This window comes from Homo sapiens, chromosome 8 (genome assembly GCF_000001405.40).
Source record: "Homo sapiens chromosome 8, GRCh38.p14 Primary Assembly".
Lineage (NCBI taxonomy): Eukaryota > Metazoa > Chordata > Mammalia > Primates > Hominidae > Homo > Homo sapiens.
In genome coordinates, this window is record NC_000008.11 from 69,149,295 (window position 1) to 69,171,081 (window position 21,787).

Below are 21,787 nucleotides of genomic sequence, written 5' to 3' on the forward strand. Positions count from 1 at the left end.
CTAATTTTTGTATTTTTATTAGAGACTGGGTTTCACCATGTTAGCCAGGATTGTCTCGATCTCCTGACCTCGTGATCCACCCACCTCGACCTCCCAAAGTGCTGGGATTACTGGTGTGAGCCACTGCTAAGGTCAAAGTCAGGTGTCACTAAAAGAGTAGATAGAGATGAAGAAAGGAAGGCACTAAAAACCTATAGAATTCTTTTCTGTGACAATTTGCAACCTCATGCAGGGCCCAGAGTGTGGCCCAGAACAAGGTTATAAGGAATCAAGTGCCTTGATCATATATCTCAACTTTTTGCTAATATTACTAGGCCCCCTGTCTATCAAATTACTCTTCCTCTGTTTCTCATGACCAGTATGTTCGCACATGGAAAAGAACATGAACAATCATTACTCCCACATGTTTTCAATATTTTCTTATCAGAGTCAGATTCAAAGATGCATCAGGACCCATTGTGGCCTTTCTTGGAAGTTCTCTAATTTAGAACAAAGAAATTTAAGACCTAAAAGTAGCGAAAGAGTGAAAAGTGCAGTGATTTGAAGAGTATTCAAAAGTTGCTCATAAAGAAGAAAAAAAATACAAGCATACCCACATGCATGAAGGCAAGAAATTTCTAATCACAAAGCATTAAAATAAGGGAAGCATCTAGAATTGAACAATGAGAACACAAGGACACAGGAAGGGGAATATCACACACCGGGGCCTGTTGTGGGGTGGGGGGAGGGGGGAGAGATAGCATTAGAAGATATACCTAATGTAAATGACGAGTTAATGAGTGGAGCACACCAGCATGGCACAAGTATACATATGTAACAAACCTGCACGTTGTGCACATGTACCCTAGAACTTAAAGTATAATAAAAATATATATATATATTAAAAAAACAAACGGCAATCTCATACACTCTTTAAAGTTTAGTCACAACAAAGTATGATTTTTAGAATCAACATATTGGAGAACTTGTAATTTCATGACTAATATTTTAGAAGCTATTTAAAATTATTTTCATTTCTACTGTTTCTGCTTTTGAAGGATATTCCTTATATTAAAAACAAACAAACACATGAGAAACTCCAAAGCAACAACAACCTACCTGAACTGCTTAAAAGAAATGGCCAAGATGTGTTAGTTAGAGATTAAACTCATCAGATAATTATAATGATTTGTAATGTCCTTCATTTTGTACATCATTCTCAGACTGCTAGAATTTCACATGAATTACTAGCAAATTTTTAGTCACAGTTTATGTTCATTATTTAGAATATTTTTCTCTCTGGATTGGCACAATTTGGTAGCTAAATATAATAAACATCTGTTTACTGGGTTGAGAGTAAATAATATTGAACATCCGATTAACAGATGGATAGTTTGCTTTATGTGCTGAAAGATTTTTTTGTAATGGCAGTTCTAGGAAAGATAAAGAAGCAATTTAAGATCTGAATTTCATTTATCGTAATAGATAAGGTACAGGAATACTTAACATTGTGTAACATAAGATATTCAGATTAAATCTGACTTTTCATATATATTTGAAAAACGAACTTGTGTAGATTGCATTTATGAGACATTTATTTTGAATACATGTGGTTTTCCACCAAATCTTCATCAATTGTTCCTTTTCCTAGAGAGAGTGTCAGGGAAAGGTTTCAGATGGCCATCTGGTTAGTGTCAGACAATACTCATTCCAATAAGTACATTATGGAATTCAAAGCCAAGGAGTGTTTTTCCCCAAGTGATTTTTTAACTCCATGTTTTGATCCTCCATTGTCATTTGACTTTTTAGCAGCATTTTCTGGGCTCTTTTTCCTGTATAATTAATGAGACTCAGGTACTTCTTCTTTGTTAATTTAGGCTTAACACGTCTCCCATTTGCAATAATTTCTTTTACGATATAGGATAAAGAATTACACACTGCTTCCAGAATATGTGCTAGGACATTTGAAGGTAAACATTCCTATATTTATTATGACAAAGCTTTTGAATTTTATAACCATAAATTCAGACAACCTACAACCTCCCACAGTTTCTTCTTAATGTTTGACTGTGAATGGAATTCTAGCCTAAAGCAAGGTTTTAAAATCTATCTAACAATTGCAACCAAATTACTGTAATCATGTTGAAATGTTCTTGTAGTTCACTCATTATTAATCAAATTTTCATAAATTCTCTTCCATACCACATTATGTGTCAGTCTGGCTTTCTTGAAAACTCACTGAGATAGAGGGATTTGTATGCAAAGGTTTCTAAGGCGATATATCTTTTCTTAAGGGGGGAAGGCAGGCCTGGGAACTGGGAAATGCTGACTCACAACATGGCTTGCAAAGGAAGCCAATACAGAGAGTTCCGGACTTAAGAAGGTCCTTTAGAGTTGCCTTGTGTCATTGGCTAGAGGCAAGCCTCTGGTGGGGATGAAAGGATGGAAACTTGGGCACAGCAATGTCTTGCAAATAAGGGAAATTTCCAGTAAGGGACATAGCTGTCCTAGTAAGGGACATAGCCTTCAGCAGTTGGTATTCCCAGAAGCTGGAGGATGGGTACATGAGCCCTGGCAAGGAGATCATGGTGAGGCACCACAAGAAGCACATTTTTTGGTTAGAACTCTATTCTATAGAATGAATCATTTAGGTAGGACTTGGAAAATAGGGTAGAAAGATATCACATACTAATCTTTTGTCATCAGGGTAATGTCTGCATTTGTCTACCTGTAAAGTAACTCTTGTTTTCTCCTCAAGGGTGTGTATGCATCAAATACAGCTTTCCAATAAAGGTAAGGCTTGTTAGGAGCAGAGACATGCTCAGCTTAACTCAGAAATCCTCCTTCCACTTCAATCTGTCCCCCTCTTCCTCCTAGGCACCTGACTGCCCAGTTAAGAGACAAAATTTCCCAGATGTCCTTGTGAATACATATGGTCCTGTGACTACGTTCTCACACTTGAGATGTGAGCAGAATTGATTGGGAAACTTTATTTTTTAAAAAATATGCCTGTCCTGGACTTATTTATCCCTTTTCTTTCTACTGATTGGAATTACTAGAACAACTCTGGAAGTCTTACATTAAAATTAGCAAAGATGTCTCCACTCTGTGAAGTAAAACCCACCTGTCTGCCTTGCCCTTCACATATGTTAGATAGAAATGTCTTTGTTTTGTAAGCAAATCTACTTGTTACTCTATTCAGTAAGGACATTTAATTTTTAAACTAATTAAAACAAAGATTATTTTTAAAAAATAAAAGATATAGGGATATCCATGTAACATAGAAGCCCAAAAATGGAAAGGTCATTCATGATACACACAGCTCTAGAAACCAGATTATTGTGCTTTTTCTCAATGTAACATTTCCAACACTTTCTCCTCTAGTTTGGTGCTCACTGTAATGAAATGAATCCTTCTGTCTTGCTGGTAACTGACTTCTCTCTGCAATGCTATCAGGTTCATGACTTCTGCTCAGGCATACTTTTTCCTATCTTGTGGTTTTGGCTAAATGCCTACACTTTTTGTGCTTTTCAGCTTATAGGACCCTAAAGAAACTACTGACTCTCTCACATTTCAACTTTTTAAGAGGAAAAAAAAATCTGATTGCTTCTCATCATATTTGCTATCCCTATTGAGCAGAGCACTTATTCTAGACTACCTGACAGGCTTCAGGCTAGTCTAGAATCAGGCTGCCCTTGGGGTAAGTAATAGAGAGTTTTCCCAATTTTGGCTGCCCTCCTTCTGAACTTCCTTCCTATTTGTTTATACTTTCCATTACATGTGGTTTTGGTAGCAGCCACAGGAAACAAAAAATTTCTCCTTTCTGTTTCTTAATGAATAGGCACATGACCGGGGCTCTAAAAAACAGGTGTTACCACCTGGTATTCCAACCAGAAGTGACAAAAATTCTTGGGGTCATTTAGAGATGATTCGCAATGGTGTTTCAGTGTGGCCCAGAGACCCATAGCTGGAGCAGTGGTGTCTTAAATAGACTGTTCCTAAGACATGCTGTAAGCAGTGTTCTCTGCTGCCCCTACACTCCTTTTTTGGGGGAATGGTTTTCCAAGCTTCCCGTAAATCCTATGAGCTTTCCAATTATCTGCTCCCTCCAAAATATCTTTTCTTATAAGTTAGCAATTTATCTGACTTGCACCCGAGATCCCAATTGTGATGCATATTGGTACCCACTCTTTATCTGATCAGCTGTGGCCAGCTTGGTTAACCATGTGATCAACTTTCCTCAGAAATAGCTGTATGAGTGAGGCAGGAAACCAGAGGATATTAGAGAACATTAATCCGAAACTACAAAAAGATTAAAAAAAAAAAAAACAGAGAAAAAGGTCTTTTTGCATGCACTAGTTTACTCTCTATAAACAAAAAAGCAAAGGTGCAATGACTTTGAGGGATAATGAATTTATTCTGTTATCACGGTGTATTAGTCCATTTTCATACTGCTATAAAGAAATACTCGAGACTGGGTAATTTACAAAGAAAAAGAGGTTTAGGGGACTCACAGTTCCACATGGCTGGGGAGGCCTCACAAGCATGGTGGAAGGCAATGGATGACCAAAGACACGTCTTACATGGTAGCAGGCAAGAGAACTTATGCAGGGGAACTGCCCTTTATGAAACCATCAGATCTCGTGAGACTTATTCACGATCATGAGAACGGGAGGGGAGAAACCTGCCCCCGTGATTCAATTACCTCCCACCAGTTCCCTAGCACGACACGTGGGGATTATGGGAGCTACAATTCAAGATGAGATTTGGGTGGGGACACAGCCAAACCTTTCTCTTAGTGGAGCATAAAGTCCAGGCCAGGAAAGAAAAGCTGACCTCTCCCCTCCCTTCTGCTTACACTCATCGGCTCTTCCCACTATTCTCTGGTGCCTGCCTAGATGCAAGCACGGCTAAACTCCAGCCATTGCTTCAACCCTAAAATGGTGTTCAGAAATCCATTGTTTGAAAAAGCCACATTAATGTGCTTTAGTATTATTCTTCACAGTTTTTATGACCTATAATATATCAAGTCTTTTTAAATACTATCTCAATTAGAAGCACTAAATCCATTCTCTGGAAAATAAACATAGTTAGCTAAAATATTCTGCCTTTTAAAATAAGCCTGATGGCAATTTAAAAACATCCTCATCTTCCTGAGAATCACTGCTGTAAAACTCCAGAGCTCTAATGTAGGCAAGTGATGGATATAGCTCTTTTTAAAAGCCTTAGATGAATGACATGGAGTCTGAGAAGAATTTTAATGATTGCCCTTCTGAGTCTTGATATTATACAAGGTAATTGACCTAATATCATACTGATCCATCAAGATTTCCCTTTTTTCCCCCTTTATAAATCCTTTTATCTTTCTCTCTTAAGTTTTAGAACAGTACTTCACTGAGCAAAGAAAAATATATCCATATTCATGATAATGTAAGCACTATTGATTCACTTTTCAAGATCAACCTGTAAACACATAGATTTGCTTATGGTTACAAAACTCAATATAACAGTGCTCACAATTGTGCAATAAAAGTACAACTGGCAAAATTTGAGACCTGGAAATGGGAATGAAAGAAGAGATGAAGATAAAGGCAATGCAATAATAAACTGTATCAAAGGATACTGAGGAAAGTTGACAATATAAGAAGTAGAGATTTAACTTTATCGAAGTTACTAAAGTTACTGAAGAAGAAACGAAACAATAGTGGGGGAAGACAGAGTAAAATATTGCAAGTAAACAAAATCCTCATGTGTTACTGATGAACAATACCTGGAGTAGATCAATCTAAATTTGTTTTTACTTTTTATCTCAATATGACTTGAGATATATCAGTAATAGATACTGATATATAGATATTCTGCTAATTGTCTAAATGCTTCCATTAAGATAATAGTCTATAATATTTTATTGTGCTTTGCTGCACCACACCTACCTTAAAATAAAAGAAACTCATTTTACTATTTACAGTACTTCTTTTTGTACCTTATTTTTTCAGTTTCTTTTTGCTTCTTTTCTTTTTATGCTGTTTTACTGCCTGTTGTGCCTCCAGCAAGCACATTGATAAGAAATAAATTACACTTACCCTGGAGTCTAGGGTGGCTGAGAGCCAGCCAGGCCCTAGAGAGCTACTGAAGTCCTAGTGGGCCTTGCTTTGCTTTCTGTTTTTTGTTTTTTTCTGCCATGATGGTGCCTTCAAGGACAATTGAAGTGCAGATAATCCTTTCACAGCCATCTTTGTTTTCAAATGCATACAGCAGTTCTGTGTTTTCTTTTTGCCTCTGGCCCTGTTTGTGACTATTCTGACTTGTCCTCATTCTCTCATTGCCATTTCTAAAAGCTATCACTACTGCGCCTTAAACTCTACCTCTTTTTTTCTTCTTTTCATTCTCTTATCTCTCCTGACTCTCCTCTTTCTTTTCACAGTTTTATTGTAAGAAGGCTGATGATATATATGCATGTGAACATATATGTATATGTATTTATATATGCATGTATGTATGTATACACACATAAACATATGCCCACATTCTCTTATATACACCAAATGCAATACCCATCTCTAAATACTATCCCTAATTTTGTCATTTTCAGCTTTGTAACAGTATTGCTAGATAATAACTGTGGATTTCCTTATTCCCAGAGACATTGGACTGAAGTTCTCAAAACTATTACCAATTTTTGAACCTCAGTGAATGTTAGGTTGCAGGTTCAAAAAAGTTGGAGAGTAAATTCATAAAGGGAGGGTCACTTTTTTCCACTCGAAGAAAGAATTAAGTATGTTTACTATGTAATAATGTACAAATTTGTGAGTAATCTACCAACAGGCCCTTTTTTTTTTTTTTTTTTTTTGAGACGCAGTCTTGCTCCATCACCCAGGCTGGAGTGCAGTGACGAAATCTCGACTCACTGCAAGCTCCGCCTCCCGGGTTCACACCATTCTCCTGCCTCAGCCTCCCGAGTAGCTGGGATTACAGGCGCCCGGCTAAATTTTTTTGTATTTTTAGTAGAGACGGGGTTTCACCGTGTTAGCCAGGATGGTCTCGATCTCCTGACCTCCAACAGGCCCTTTTTATATTTGTTAAGATTGTTATATTTCAACAAGGTTAGAGATGTTATAACAATATACTAAAGAGATATCAGATTAGAAATCTATGATAAAGTGAGATCAGGACAAAAAAATGTAAGCTGATACATCTGGCAAAGAAAAGTTGTGGATATAGATATTTCATGAAAGGGCGAAACTTAGCAAAATTTTTAAAATGGGCTTTAAATGTAGTCGTTTGACGAAATGTGTTGAGTAGTTCTAATGTCAACTGTCAATGAAGAATGCTGAAACCAAGATACAATGTATAGTTATGGACACCACATTGCAAAATATTGCTTTTTCTGATAATATGTAATAGTTGACATTATACAGTAATATCATAGAGATGAGCTAATTGTCATCTGAATGATTTCAGTGATGATTTGAAGTTGTGTACTTCTGGAAGGCAGAATTTGTTTAACTCACTCTGGGATGCTTAGCCTTTTGAGTGCGTGACTTAGATACTTCATAATGGTTTTAAAATAATGACTATGTCTAATATTAGAGATGCTGCCTTTATTATGATAGCAGAAATATCCACTAGAATGTTTCTTTAACTGGGGATAAAACTCAATCATTTCTCATTGTGGCTTTAAGGGTCTTCAAAACCAAACAGTGCCACTTTAATGGACCTGAAGAAAAGCAACAAGTACAGGCAAGGAAATAAATGGAGAGAATCTTTTGAGAGAAAAAAAGAGCAAATGTGGAAATCATTTACTTGAAAGCAAATACTGAATGCTTCATCGGTATGAGAGGAGAATGAAACTTAAAGGGAATCTGACATGTGAGAAGAGAGTCCTTGGTCCCCCACAGCAGGGGATGTGGCACTGTGAGACAGTGTCCAAGCAGACACCAAGTGCCCCATCAGACCATCATGTTTTCAAACCCAGCAAGTGTGTTTAATGTTTCCACACCACCGCTTCCTTATTTACACACAGAAAGATGGCTTCTGTAGCTTCTTCGGCAGGAGTTTTGAAAGTTAATTAATTTTCATAGAGTGACTACATATTAGATCTCTAAACACTCCCTGAATAGCGCTCCCTTGACAGCTCCTCATGGCCTCCAAAAAAGAGCAAATTCATAAATATTCTTCTTTATTTTAACCTATCATCTTCATTCTCTGCTTTTTTCAAGAAATGGTTCACCTTTGCTTATTTCCTGAAGCTTTTCCTACCAAACTCTATCGCAAAATGAGCCTTGAATGCCATCAAAATGTGAGATCTATGAATTGTGCCAAATTATCACATTCGCCTATATAGTGTCTTGGATGAGGCTATCATTGTTTGTATAAATGCATCCTGCTTCCCCAGCTAGCTAATAAGTCTCTTGGATGGAATAGAAGCGCACTGCATTTTGTATATTCTTGAGCTACCACAATTCAAAAAAATGCTAGGCATTCCACAGGGCCTGTGATAGACAATCTACTATCTCATGGATGTATCTGATCCATCTCCATTGACTGCTATGTGTTTTTCAGTATATCCAACACCTAGAACTGGACCCAACACCTAAAACACTTCCTACCGTATTATAATTTCAACATATTTGTTGAAAGAATGAATGATGTATACTTTCAAATGTTTATATTATTTTAAGAAGAATGCATGTTTGTTTAATATGAAAAGTCTCCTTTCTCCTTGCCTGCTCACCTTACCCTTTCTAGGCAGATCTTAAGAATCTTTCTAAAAGAGAATGCATTCTACATTTTACCTTTCTGAGCCAGGGGTTTTTTTGTTTGTTTGTTTTTGTTTTTTTCAGTTCTCAATTCAGGTTTAATTTTGTGGTGGGATTTGGACATGATTCTTTTAGCTCTTGCCCTAAGTACTTCAGCACTCTGGACTAAAACATGTAGGATAATAAGTACGATTTCACTTTATATATTCTTTGTTTTTCTGCTGAAATGATCTAATACCATTTCTTTGTAGGACACAGCTCACAAGCCTTTGCTATGACACACTTAGTTAGCATCCTACCTTTATACATAAAAACTTTTAGAACCCCTCAGGAGAGCCTAGAAAAGGTGCAATACTAAATCAGAGTTGGCACAGCCTTGAAATAGTTTTCCCTATATTAGTTTCTAAAATTTTAACTAGCTTAGAAAATATCTGATTTCTCAAACTTTCCTCTGACATGAAGACAATATCAGTGGAGAGAAATAAATTCGTACTACAAACACTCATACGTTCATTGTCCTTTACCTTCTATTGTGACATTTAAGTGTCCTGTATAATTTAGAAAGGTGTGATTCGATTGGTGACTCCTTTTCATCCTGCTGGTAATTAGACTCTGGGATATCCATTTACCTCTCTTGATCTTAAGTAAATATTGTGGTTGCATACCAGAGACTGTTTTGAGTGCATTTAGCCTAGTACCTATTGTGAGGACGTAAAGTTAAACCCACTTTGCAGCAATTATGAAATTTTAGTGATTAATTTCTGCTGTTGGATTGGCAAGATTTGTTCAAATAAGGTGTAAATTGTCCAGAACAAATAGACTTCAGACAGACATGGTTTATGTGGCAATCTGATAGTCCAGAGGGAAAAGTGATGAAATAAATTTGACATTGTAGTATTCACTAAATTCTTGATTCATATGTCCAGCCAGTGCAGGCAGAATGCAGCTGATGATTTTAAGGAGATAGAAAACTAGTTCATCCTACCAGCAACAGAGGCCCAGAAAAAGAAGTAGGTTGCCCAAGGCCAGACAGCAGAGATTGGAAGAGCCATTGACGACTGCACTCCTGATCTCTAGTACATCATTCTTTCTCCTCCTCACCAGGCCACATCCTTCCAAGGAAAAGTGAATGTGCTCATTTCCATGCTACTGAAAGCCTGTCATTCCTCAGCACTCATCCCCATCATCACCTCCATCTCCTTGATCAACAGCACGTAATTTGTCCTCATCCCCTACTGTTTAACCGATATGATCTCATGAAAATCCACTACAACTCAAGGCCAGGAGAATTCAGGCTCTGGCTTTCAGCCTCTTGCCCAGTGTAACCATTAGTGGCGTTCCCACACCAAGGGCTAATGTTGATTACATTACTACTAAAATGTTCCCAAATGGGATGAATCAGAAGTGGGATAACCTCGACATGAGAATTTGCCTCCTGTTCTCGGAAGAAACACTGTCATTGTCATTGTCCATATTTTTAATTCAATAAACACCCATTGAATATTAAATGTATGCCAGATCCTATTCTAGTGAAACCCAAATATTTTAGGGCCTCACAAGCCTGAAGCCACAACTAAGGACATGCTACTATGGTAGCTCACACAGTGTACACAGTAATGACTTCCAGACAGACACTGGCCCTGATTCCTGGTTTTCCTGCCCCTTAGTTCTGCAAAACAGGATCCAGGAGAACCAGCCATACCACAGCGCACTGCAGTCGGCTCAGGCACCACTCCTCACTTGTGTTGCTGTCTCCCTTCTCTATCAATCGGATTGCGACACTCTCCCATTTAGAAAGCCTCCAGTGACTTCCATCACATTTAAGAGGATTCTCAACTCTTTGTTGTGGCCTCCAAGGCCCTAGAAGCTGACCCCTACCCTCCAGTCTGACATTTATCATAGCCCCTTGCCTGCTCGGCCTGGCAGCAAGTGCCTCTTTCCCTTCATTCACAGGCAGGGCACTGTACCTACCCTCCTCCACCTAGTACATTGTTCCCCCAGAAATTCCTTCTTCTGAGTGAATCCCTATGATCTCTGCCCAATTACACAGTCTAAAGAAGCTGCCTGATGCTCTCTGGTGGTTTAGTGGCTAGGATTCACCTCTCTCACTGCTGCAGCCCAGGGTTCCATTCCCTGGGAGTCAGATGGGTATAAAGTTTCAGTTACGGACTTCAAGATCTGCTTGGTTAACACAGCAAGACCCCATCTCTACAAAACAGAAATTAAAAAGAAATTAGCTGGGTGTGGTGGTGCAAATCTGTAGTATTGGCTCTTCAAGAGACTGAGGCCAGAGGGTCACTTAGCCCAGGAGTTCAAGAATGCAGTGAGCTATTATTGTGCCAGTGCACTCCAGCCTGGGCGACAGAGCGAGACTCTGTTTCAAAAAAAAAAAAAAAAAAGAAACAGCTGAAATTAATTTTAATAGCCTATTGTATTTAACCCAATATATTAAGAAATATACATATATACGTATATATGTGTGTATGCATATATATGTAGATGATAGATAGATAGATAGATAGATAGATGATAGATAGATAGATTGATAGATTTTTTTTGGAGACAGGGTCCACTCTGTTTCCCAGGATGGAGTGCAGTGGTGTGATCATGGCTCACTGCAGCCTTATTGATGTCCTGGGCTCAAGCAATCCTCCTGCCTCAGCTCCCCAAGTAGCTGAGACTGTAGACACTAGCCACCACACCCAGCTAATATTTGTACTTTTTGTAGAAATGGCGTTTCACCATGTTGCCCAGGCTGGTCTTGAACTCCTGAGCTCCAGAGATCTGCCCACCTCTGCCTTCCAAAGTGCTAGGATTACAGGCTTGAGCCACCACGCCTGGCCTCAAAGTATTATTATTTTAACAGATAATCAATATAAAAACTATTAATGAGCTATTTTATAATATATGTGCTACTAAATCCTTTAAATCTGGGGTGTATTTTCCCTTGACAGCACATCTCAATACAGACGCTTTTTTTTCTAAAATGCTTGATCTGTCTTCAGATTTCATAACATTTACAATTGAAAAAATAGACCTGCATACCCAAGTTGCTCCAATACACTGAAAACTTTCCCAAAAACTGAATTTTCAATTTTTAAATTTAAATATAAATTAATTTAAATTAAATATAATTTTAAAATCAGTTTCCCAGTCACACAGGCCATCATATTGGACAGCAAGGCTTTAATATCTTATTGCTTGTTATAGTTTTCTACCAATTTGTGTCCTTGCTTTCATTTAAACTGAGATCTCCTCTGTCTGTTCACTACTTTATTCCTAGCACCAAGAATGGCAATCAGTGCAGCATTTAAGGAATAGTTATCAAATGACCACATGAACCTGCAGGCCAGAGAGTCCTATTTTTCAGACAGCTTAGCACTGTGGCTAAAAGCACAGACTCCAGGGCCATACTGCCTGTCTTTGAACCCAACCTTGCTATCTCTAGCAATGAGAACCTTGTGCAACTTATTTAGCCTCCCTGTGCCTCAGTCTACTTGTCTGTTGATGAAGGGAATAACAGCACTTAGTACATGGTGTTGTGAGAATTCAATGGGTTAACATTTCTAAAGACTGTTTACCTCAGGGCCTGGCCTTGGAAGCGCAGTGTTTGTTAAGTAAACTCTACCAAGTTTGGGCCCTCAGGTTGTTCAAAATTTGCTGAGCGTCAGGTCCCTGCATCATCTTTAGGCTCCCACCCCACCTGACCATTGCCTCTCTGCCTTTGTCTTGCAGTCCGGAGTATTCAACCCCAGCTGCTCTCATCGTTGGCCTCCCCATCAACCATGGTGGTGTTGAGGCCACTCCCCATCACTCACCTGGCCCACTGCCCAGACTTGATGCCCACTGGCAATCCTGGTTCCCATGACTACCCATTCTCCACTGTGAAATGGAAAGGGAAATAGGGACTCCTTCCTTCCTATATAAGGCCATTTTGGAGGCCCCAGCACATCCTGCTTGCCCCAGGCTGTTCTGGAAGATGCACACATACACAGGTGCATACATGCCTGTAGGGAAGCTGGGTCACCATAAGTGTATGTAACAGCCGCAGTCTGAACCTGGAACCATTTCTCCCACCTACGGCTCGCAGCCTTTGCCAAGACAGTTCACGAGACCATCCTCTCTCCCTCAGCATGAATCCTCTCCACAAAGTCCACAAATTTCTCTTGATTTTTTACTCCTACCTTCTGATGCTTGTATATATTTGAACGTCAGTGGTTGACATTGTCTAAATTCTTTTTATGGAAGGAGAGGTCTTGGCAGTTGCAGCAAGGTTAAGAGATCATTCTCTGTATATTCATCATTATGCAGAATTCAGCACACTTCCTGACAGATAGTGGAAACTCAATAAATATTTGTGGATTGAGGAATGGATGAATAAATTATGCTCCTTAGGCCCTGTGTAAGTCAGCTGGTTGAAGGGAAGGGGAGGGTCTATATTCTGTCACTTATACTCATATTGGACAGCACAGCTTTAATATCGTATTGCTTGTTATTGTTTTCTACTAGCTTGTGTCTTCACTTTCATTTAAGCAGAGATCTCCTCAGTCTGTTCACTACATTATTCTGGTTCTCAAAAATGAAGTACAGTGTTATTCTCTCCCTATACCCCCAAAGCCAGCACAGAAACAATGTTTCCACAGGTATGTCTTAATTAATTCATTCATCATTTTTCTTGAGATAAGAGTCTTGCTCTGTTGCCCAGGCTGAAGTGCAGTTGGCACTATCATAACTCACTGCAGCCTCAAACTCCCGGGCTCAAAGGATCCTCCCTCCTCAACCTCCCGTGTAGCTGGGACTACAGGTTCATGCCACCAAGCCTGGCTAATTTTTATTTTTATTTATGTAGAGACAGAGGTCTCGCTGTGTTGCCTAGGCTAGTCTGGAACTCCTGGCCTCAAGCAGTCCTCCTGCCTTAGCCTACCAAAGTACTGGGTTTACAGGTGTGACTACCATGCCCAGCCAGTATTGTCTTTAAATATCTAACCATAGAGAAAAGATATTTTATATGAGGTTTCCAGCATGATTTCTTTGCTTTTTAGCCAGAATATTTCTGAAAGACAGACCATCTATCTGGTCTGAGAGTGACTTACTTTGCAACAATATATGTGTAGTACACAAAAAAATTTCTCCTCATGATTGTAAGAATATGAGCACTTAAACTAAGCAATTTCTTCAGGTTTTATTCTTTTTTTTACACTATTAGCAAAAAGAAGTTTCAGTAGACAGAGGTACATGCTATTTAGCTAGGCCATGCCTTCATTTGGGGGAGTAATATTTTTGTCCTCTGGCAGGAAAGTGGAGTTACTAAAATTACTGTAAAACAAAAATTAAATCAATACAATGACAAAATAAGAAACACACCCATATTTGTCATATCACAGGTTTGAGATGGCCAAGTTGACAATGATGTCTTGGACTTTGACAACACAAAACATAAGTGAACCCTCAGAGCCACTAGACAGTCCAATCTCAGCATTCTACTGGATTTACTGTCCTCTCTAAGCCAATTATTTCATATTTTCTTGTGAGGGGTTGAATTGGGATCCCCCTAAAAGAGATATGTTGAAATCTAACCCCTAATATCTCAGATTATGACCTTATTTGAAAATATGGTCATTAACTAATTACATTGTTGTTGATGTACTTTGTTAAGATGAGATCATACTGGAAAGGGTGAGCCCCCAATCCAATATGATTAGTGTTCTTATAAAAAGAAGAGACAGGCACGCTGAGGAAAGAGTCCATGTGATAGCAGAGGATGGAAGTGATGACTCTACATGCCAAGGAACCATAAGGATTGCCGACAAACCACCAGAAGATAGAGAACTAAGGAAGGATTCCCCTACAAGTTTCAGAAGGAGCATGGCCCTGTGACACTTTGATTTCAGACTTCTAGCATAAAAGAAAATAGTTTTTTGCTTTGCATTTACCATGTATTAACTGAGATACCATTTGTAGGACAAGGCTTCAGTAAACAGCTTGTTTGTAGTAACGAGAGCAACAAAGTTATAATCATTTCATAGAAGATTCCTAGGAAAGACTGTGTAAACACCATCTATGTGCACCTGAGATTTTTTCCCTCTGTTGTGGGAAAAGTATGAATAAATAATCCTGAAATATCAAAGACTTAATATATTGAAAAAAATTAAGAAACTTTATTTCTAAAACTTGTAATAAACATAAGTTTAATTCCTAACATGGCTAAGTAATGTGAGCACATTTTTCCTTTTAGGCCATGGCACAAAAGTTACATTCAGTTTAAATTGAAATTTCCATCATTAATTAATATATCCTGGTATGCTAGGAGACAACCACCTCAACTGCCTTGCAAGAATTTTGCAGATACTGGCTTCTTTTTCATCCTATATTCCATGTTTAGTATTGAATAAGAATTTGAGTCAGTGAAAGCTTTTACTTTTAAGAAGTGCATAATATTCAACCTTCAAATTCTCAGTGGCTTCTCTAGTTCAGGGGTACAAGTGCAGGTTTTTTACATAGGTAAACTTGTGTCATGGGGGACTGTTGTACAGAATATTTCACCACTGAGGTATTAAGCCTAGGACCCATTAGTTATTTTTCCTGATCCTCTCCCTCCTCCCACCCTCCACACTCTGAAAGGCCCTGGTGTGTGTTGTTCCCCTCTCTGTGTCCATGTGTTCTCATCATTTAGCTCTCACTTATAAGTGAGAACATGTGGTATTTGGTTTTCTGTCCCTGTGTTAGTTTTCTAAAGATGATAGCCTTCAGCTCCATCCATGTCCCTGCAAGGAACATGATCTCATTCCTTTTTATGGCTGCATAGTATTCCATGGTGTATATGTACCACATTTTCTTTAGCCAGTCTATCATTCATGGACAACTACGTTGATTCTATGTCTTTGCTATTGTGAATATTGCTGCGATGAATATATACATGCATGTACTTACTAGATACACTTATACTTGCTAGGAGAGGAATTTCCAAGTTGCTATTATCGTGTTATTAGGTCTATGTGACTACATCACACTGTTGGAAAACATCCACAGGAACTGCCTGTTTTCAAGACCAATTTGCTCTATTGTAATTGAATCTACTCCATCAGTTAATGTTTGGTCCTCTGTGAGATTTGAGAAGCATCTTTTTATAGAAAGAGCTTTGACTTTAAAGCCAGACTGAAGTCTCTGCTCAACCATTTACAGCTAAAGCCCAGTTATTTCATTTGGACAGCAGAGACTATAATCCTAACTTGAAGAGCTATTGAACATATTTGAAAGGCTAGATAGATAGATAGATAGATATACATAGTTTCAGCATGATACATGTTCAATAAAGAAAAGTTGTTACTTATTTTTGTCATTATTTTTCAGTGGCAAAAGTGGAGACCAGTGCATTGCTATTCTACATGTAATGGTTCTGAGCTTATTTCTTCTGGGGCAATTGGAGCAGATGGACCATTTAAGCCCTTGAAGCTTATGATGTATTCGTGGAGCACCTGAACTGTCATTTCAAAGAATACATCACCATTTTATTGAGGACAATAATACGAAATGTGATAGATTGCCTGGTTAAATCTCAAACCACTTCATCTGGTTACTTTGGGATTTTCCTTTTTTCCAGGAAAAAAGATTATGGAGGTATAATTGACAAAAGTTGTGTATATTTTAGGTGTACATATGATGTTTTGCTATATTTATATGTGGTAAAATGTTTACCAAAATCAAGTTATTTAAGATCTACTCTTTTAGCAAATCTCAACTATACATTATTAATTATAGTCATCATACTATACATTGGGTCTCCAGAATTTATTTTTTCCATAATTGAAAGTTTGTACCCTTTGGCCAGCATCTCTTCACTGTGGCATTTTATAAATCAGATTTTTCAATTATATTTTCCAGAAGGGCACTGATAAAGGAGGACGTCTAACACATCCTCATGGATATATTGAGATAATGCTTACTTCCACAAGAACACGTATGTAACTCCAAATCCAATGTGATTGAGACAATGGGTGATATTATAAGGATAGTCTTTTTTTTAAAAAAAAATACTTTCCATGAACCTTAGTACCATGTTATTCATAATAAATCATCTTTGTCATATCACTGCTGATCATGACACATTAGATTCTGGCTGCATCCCCATGGGGAATGCTGCTGCTATAAACCATGCAAGAACCTAGGAATACAACAATTATAACCTAAGAGGTGAAAAGATGAACAATAGTGTGTGAAAAACATCAAGATGAGAGAGACAGACTAAAATATTTAGCCATCAATGATCTGATGTGGCATCACATGAAGATGTGCTTCTAAGTGCAAATGAATAGCCCATGAACTGGACTCATGAAAATTACCTATGCCAAGAAAAAAATCATCATTTACTAATAAATGTATCACAACTGTCATTCCAATGAATATTCATCACACACACACGCACACATTTAGAAGCTGCTGAACTCAAATAACTGGACTTGGCTATTTTTCCCTATTTCGTTCAGACACTATACAGTTCATCACCAGGGCAGTGCAAGAAATGATTACCACCTTCATTATGCAACCTCTGTATTCATTGGCAAAGGAAAAAAGTTAATAGTATTCATGTGATTGTCAACGATGTATACTTCGTTGTTAGAGAAAGATAAGAGTTTAAAACAATTTTTTATCTCTATGTTTATCTTCTACATTGTCATGTAAAACCAAAAATCTGAGATTTGAATACTTCACAAGACTAGCCATAAGCTTTCTGTTTGCTGGTTTGTATCTTTTCTTGCTTTCAATTTTAACGCAGTCAAAACCCTAAGGGATTAGTTCTCATCTCTTAAGAATGACTGTTTAGCATATAATTTATTACCACCTTCGGTATGCATAAACTCCCTATTTTATTTAAAGATACCAGGTGCAATATTACCATGGATCTAAACTGGAAATCAGACTCCCAAATGAGATATGTTTTCCTTAGTGGTTGTGTAAAATTCCCATTATGCTAATAGTACTTCAGAGTGCATGTTAAGAAAGAATATAGCCCTAAGTGTCTATTTATGAAAGCTTCTCTTTGAAAAGGAAAGTCTTTTAAAATGATACTCATTTTTAGTACATGAAAAGTATTAGACATTCTCGTGATTGGTTAATTGTACCATGATTTTCACAAAATAGTTAAATCCCATTTACTTCTGGAAATCTGGATTATATAAAACTCTCATTATTCTGGTGGTGCTACACTATTGGCTACACATTGTTTATATGTTCATTCCTTAGGCATCCTGAATAATTTTTGTTATATTTCAACATTTGAGACATTTGGGATCCACAGCAGTTTTTTAAAAAGTGTTTTAACTACATGTCTTGCCCTTTTTCTTGTCTCAATTTAAGTTTCTTTTTAAATTGAGAAATGTATTTATTTGATGAAATGAGCTAAAAGCATATTTTAATAATTTTCAATTACTCCATAAGGGTAACATCTGGCTGTTTACATCAAAAGGCAAAATATGGTATTCATAAGAGTTTATAAATAATATATATATATTAGATCAGATGAATGCTCTATGAAGTTTTTACTCTGCCACCTACAGTGAATATATAAACTTAAAAGATTAATTGAATATTCTCTAACCATGAATAAGCAAATTCCCATTACTTAATACTACAATATAGATTTCCAAAGTAATTAACACTTTGCATTTCTGTTCCGTGAAATTCTGTCTGTAGCATATTAAGTATACTTTTGTACTGAAAGGAGTTTCTTCATGACCAAAAATACTCTTCAGGGGCAAAGTAAGAATTTTGTACACTAAACCGTCACCAAATGATTCTATAGGGTCTAACACAATCACTTTGTTTTCTAAGTATTGCTACCTTATTTCTGGAAATGCTTTACCCCTCTGGGAGACACAGTCTAACCAGTTTGATTAAAGTCATTTGGAACAATGTCCTTCTTTATCCTCTTTCCTTTTACTGTATTTGTGTGAAAATCTATTACGGACACTCCATTGTGCAGGTATAGTAATTAAAACCAGGTGGAAAGTTGGTATATATTTGTATCTTTTCAGTAATTGCAATAGACTCAAATATTTCTAATTGAAACGACTGGATTCCTCCTCCAATTATTGTCTCCACAGAATTACATGAAACTCTTACCATGACACTCTGCCCAGGCCTGTTCCTCATCATTATCTTGTTCCCTCCTACTAATGGGACACTTTTACCAAATTTTGGCTGACCTCATTCAGGTGGAAAGGAGAAGAATTTATTAAATCAATTTTTATATATAACAGCACAGGATTTCCTTCCCTTTCACCAACTCTCCCACTCCTCTCTCTCCCCCATATAGAATGTGAACAAGAAATATTTGTTGAATGCAGACTCCCTGCAAACTATTTTTTTCTTTTTGATCAAAATGAATAATTCATTAGACTAATAAGAAACACACACACACAATTTATTACCATTCATCAGACGTCTGTTTTAGGGTCTCCTCTGACATTATGAAACTTGCTTAGTTTCCCCATCTGTAAGATGGAGATAACAATAACATCAACCTCACATATTGTTGTAGGCATTAAATAAGTTACTACCTTATTCTAAGTACCTGGCACACATTACTCACTTTATACATGATAACAATTATTATGATTATTATGGTCAATTGTTCTTTCGGGGATAACATGATCAATGACTGTGTAGATCTCATGTTACCAGAGATACAAACCCTGAAAAGGAGTAGATTCTATTCTAAAGTTGAACTACTTGTCCTTCTGGGAAGCATGCATTCTTCATTAGGTCCTTGACAGATACAAGCACAGGTATCTAAGAATAATTATACTCTCCCAGCAGAAGATGGGAAAATGGAAAACCACAGAGACCAAGAGTAACAAGGGCAGAAGCACAATTAGGCAACATGTTGCTGCTTGGGCTCTGACCTCCCAGCACCTATTTCTCAATCAGATTTTTGTTTTGTTTGTTTTGTGGATTTTAAAACTGCGATAGGAAACACATAACAAAATTTACCATCTTGACCATTTTTAAGTGCACACTTTGATAGTGTTAACTATATTCCCATTGTTGTGCAACAAATCTCCAGAAATTTTTCATCTTGCACATTGAAACTCTGTACCCATTTAACAAAACCTTTCCATTTCACACCTCTCCCCATCCCCTGGTAACCACCATGCTACCTTCTGTTTCTATAAATTTGACTACTTTAGACACCTCATATAAGTGAAATCATACAATATTTGTCTTTTCATGACTGGCTTAATTCACTATAATGTCCTTAAGGTTCATCCGTACTGTAGCATGTGACAAGATTCCCTTCCGTTTTAAGAATTAATAGTATTTCATTGTATATATATATATACCACATTTTCTTTATCCATTCACCTGCCAATAAGCATTTAGCTTGTTTCCACCTTTGGCTATTGTGAATAACACTGCAATAAACATAGGAGTGCAAAAATATCTTTGAGATCCTGCTTTTAATCCTTTTGGAAATATACCCAGAAGTGGGACTGCTGAGTCATATGGTAGTTCTATTTTCGCTTTTTTGAGAAACTGTCATGCTGATTTTCATAGCAATTGCACTATTTTACAATCCAATCAACGTTGTACAAGAGTTCCAGTTTCTCCACATCCTCCCTAACACTTGTTATTTTTTTTTTTTTTTGATAGTAGCCATTTTGATGGGTAGGGAGTGATATCTCACTGTAGTTTTGATTTGCATTTTTCTAATGACTAGTGATGTTGAGCTTATTTTCATAAGTTTGTTGGCTATTTAAATATCATCTTTGGAGTAATGTTTATTTAAGTCCTTTGCCAATTTTTTAATTGGATTATTTGTGAATATTTTCTTGTCATTTTTCGGTTACAGGAAGTTTTTAAAAATAAATTCTCAATATGAACTACTAATGAGAAATATGATTTGCAAATATTTCTCCCATTCTGTAGGTTGACGTTTTACTGTATTGACAATGCTCCTTGGTGCACAGAAGTTTTTAAGTCTGATATAGTCCAAGTTGTCTATTTTTGTTTTGTTGCCTATACTTTTGATGTAATGTCTAAGAAATCACTGCCAAATTCAAATTTATGAAGTTTTGTCATCATGATTTCTTCTAGGAGTTTTATAGTTTGGTTTTTATTTAGGTCCTTAATTTATTTTGAGTTAATTTTTGAATGTGGTGTAAAAATCTAACTTTTACATGAGGATATCCAGTTTTCCCAACACTATTTGTTGAAGAGACTGTCCTTTCCCCATTGAGTGAACTTGGAACCCTTGTCTGGCTTTTTATTCTATTCCAGTGGACTATATATCTATCTTTATACCAGTACTACAATGTTTTGATTACTATAGTTTTGTAATATGTTTTGAAAACAAGAAGTATCACACTTCCGATTTTTTTGATCTTTCAATATTGTTCAGACTATTCTGGGTCTCTTAAAATTTCACATTTTTTTATAGGTTTTTCTATTTCTGAAAAAGAAATATTGCTGGGATTTTGATACAGACTGTGGTTGAATCTGTAGGTCACTTTGGACAATATGGTCATCTTAACAATATTAAGTCTTCTAATCCATGAACATAGAATGCCTTGCCATTTATTTGTATCTGCTTTTATTTCTTTCAGGAATATTTTGTAGTTGTCAGTGTGCAAATTTTTCACCTCCTTGGTTATGTTTATTCCTAAGTATTTTATTTTTTGGTGCTGTCACAAATGGAATTGTTTTCTTAATTTTCTCTATGGATTGTTTATTGTTACCATAAGAAATGCAACTGATTTTTGTGTTTTGATTTTGTATCTTGCAACCTTGCTAAATTTGTTTAATAGTTCTGACAGTTTTTTATGCATGTTTTCTAAGGTTTTCTAAGATTATGTAATCTGTGAACAGAGATAATTTTAATGCTTATTTTCAAATTTGAATGTCTTTTATTTCCTTTTCTTCCTAACTATTCTGGCTAGTGCTTTCAGTTCTATATCTAATATACATGCAGCTTTCTTGTCATGTCTTTAATCTTAAAGGAAAACCTTTCAGTCTTTTACCATTGAGTATATTAACTGTGGGTTTTCATATAT

At 37.0% G+C, this 21,787-nt stretch overlaps 1 pseudogene, besides 1 other annotated feature; it reads left to right on the forward strand.

Moving 5' to 3' along the window:
• Nucleotides 4,353–4,522: an enhancer, noted in NCBI's record as "experimental_103650 CRE fragment used in MPRA reporter constructs". NCBI's record gives its function as "activates a minimal promoter by MPRAs in K562 erythroleukemia cells, with activity observed for the non-introgressed 8:70065967 variant allele {active_cell/tissue: K562}" and the evidence as "EXISTENCE:reporter gene assay evidence [ECO:0000049][PMID:34662402]".
• Nucleotides 10,811–10,885, forward strand: TRE-CTC14-1 (tRNA-Glu (CTC) 14-1; annotated as a pseudogene).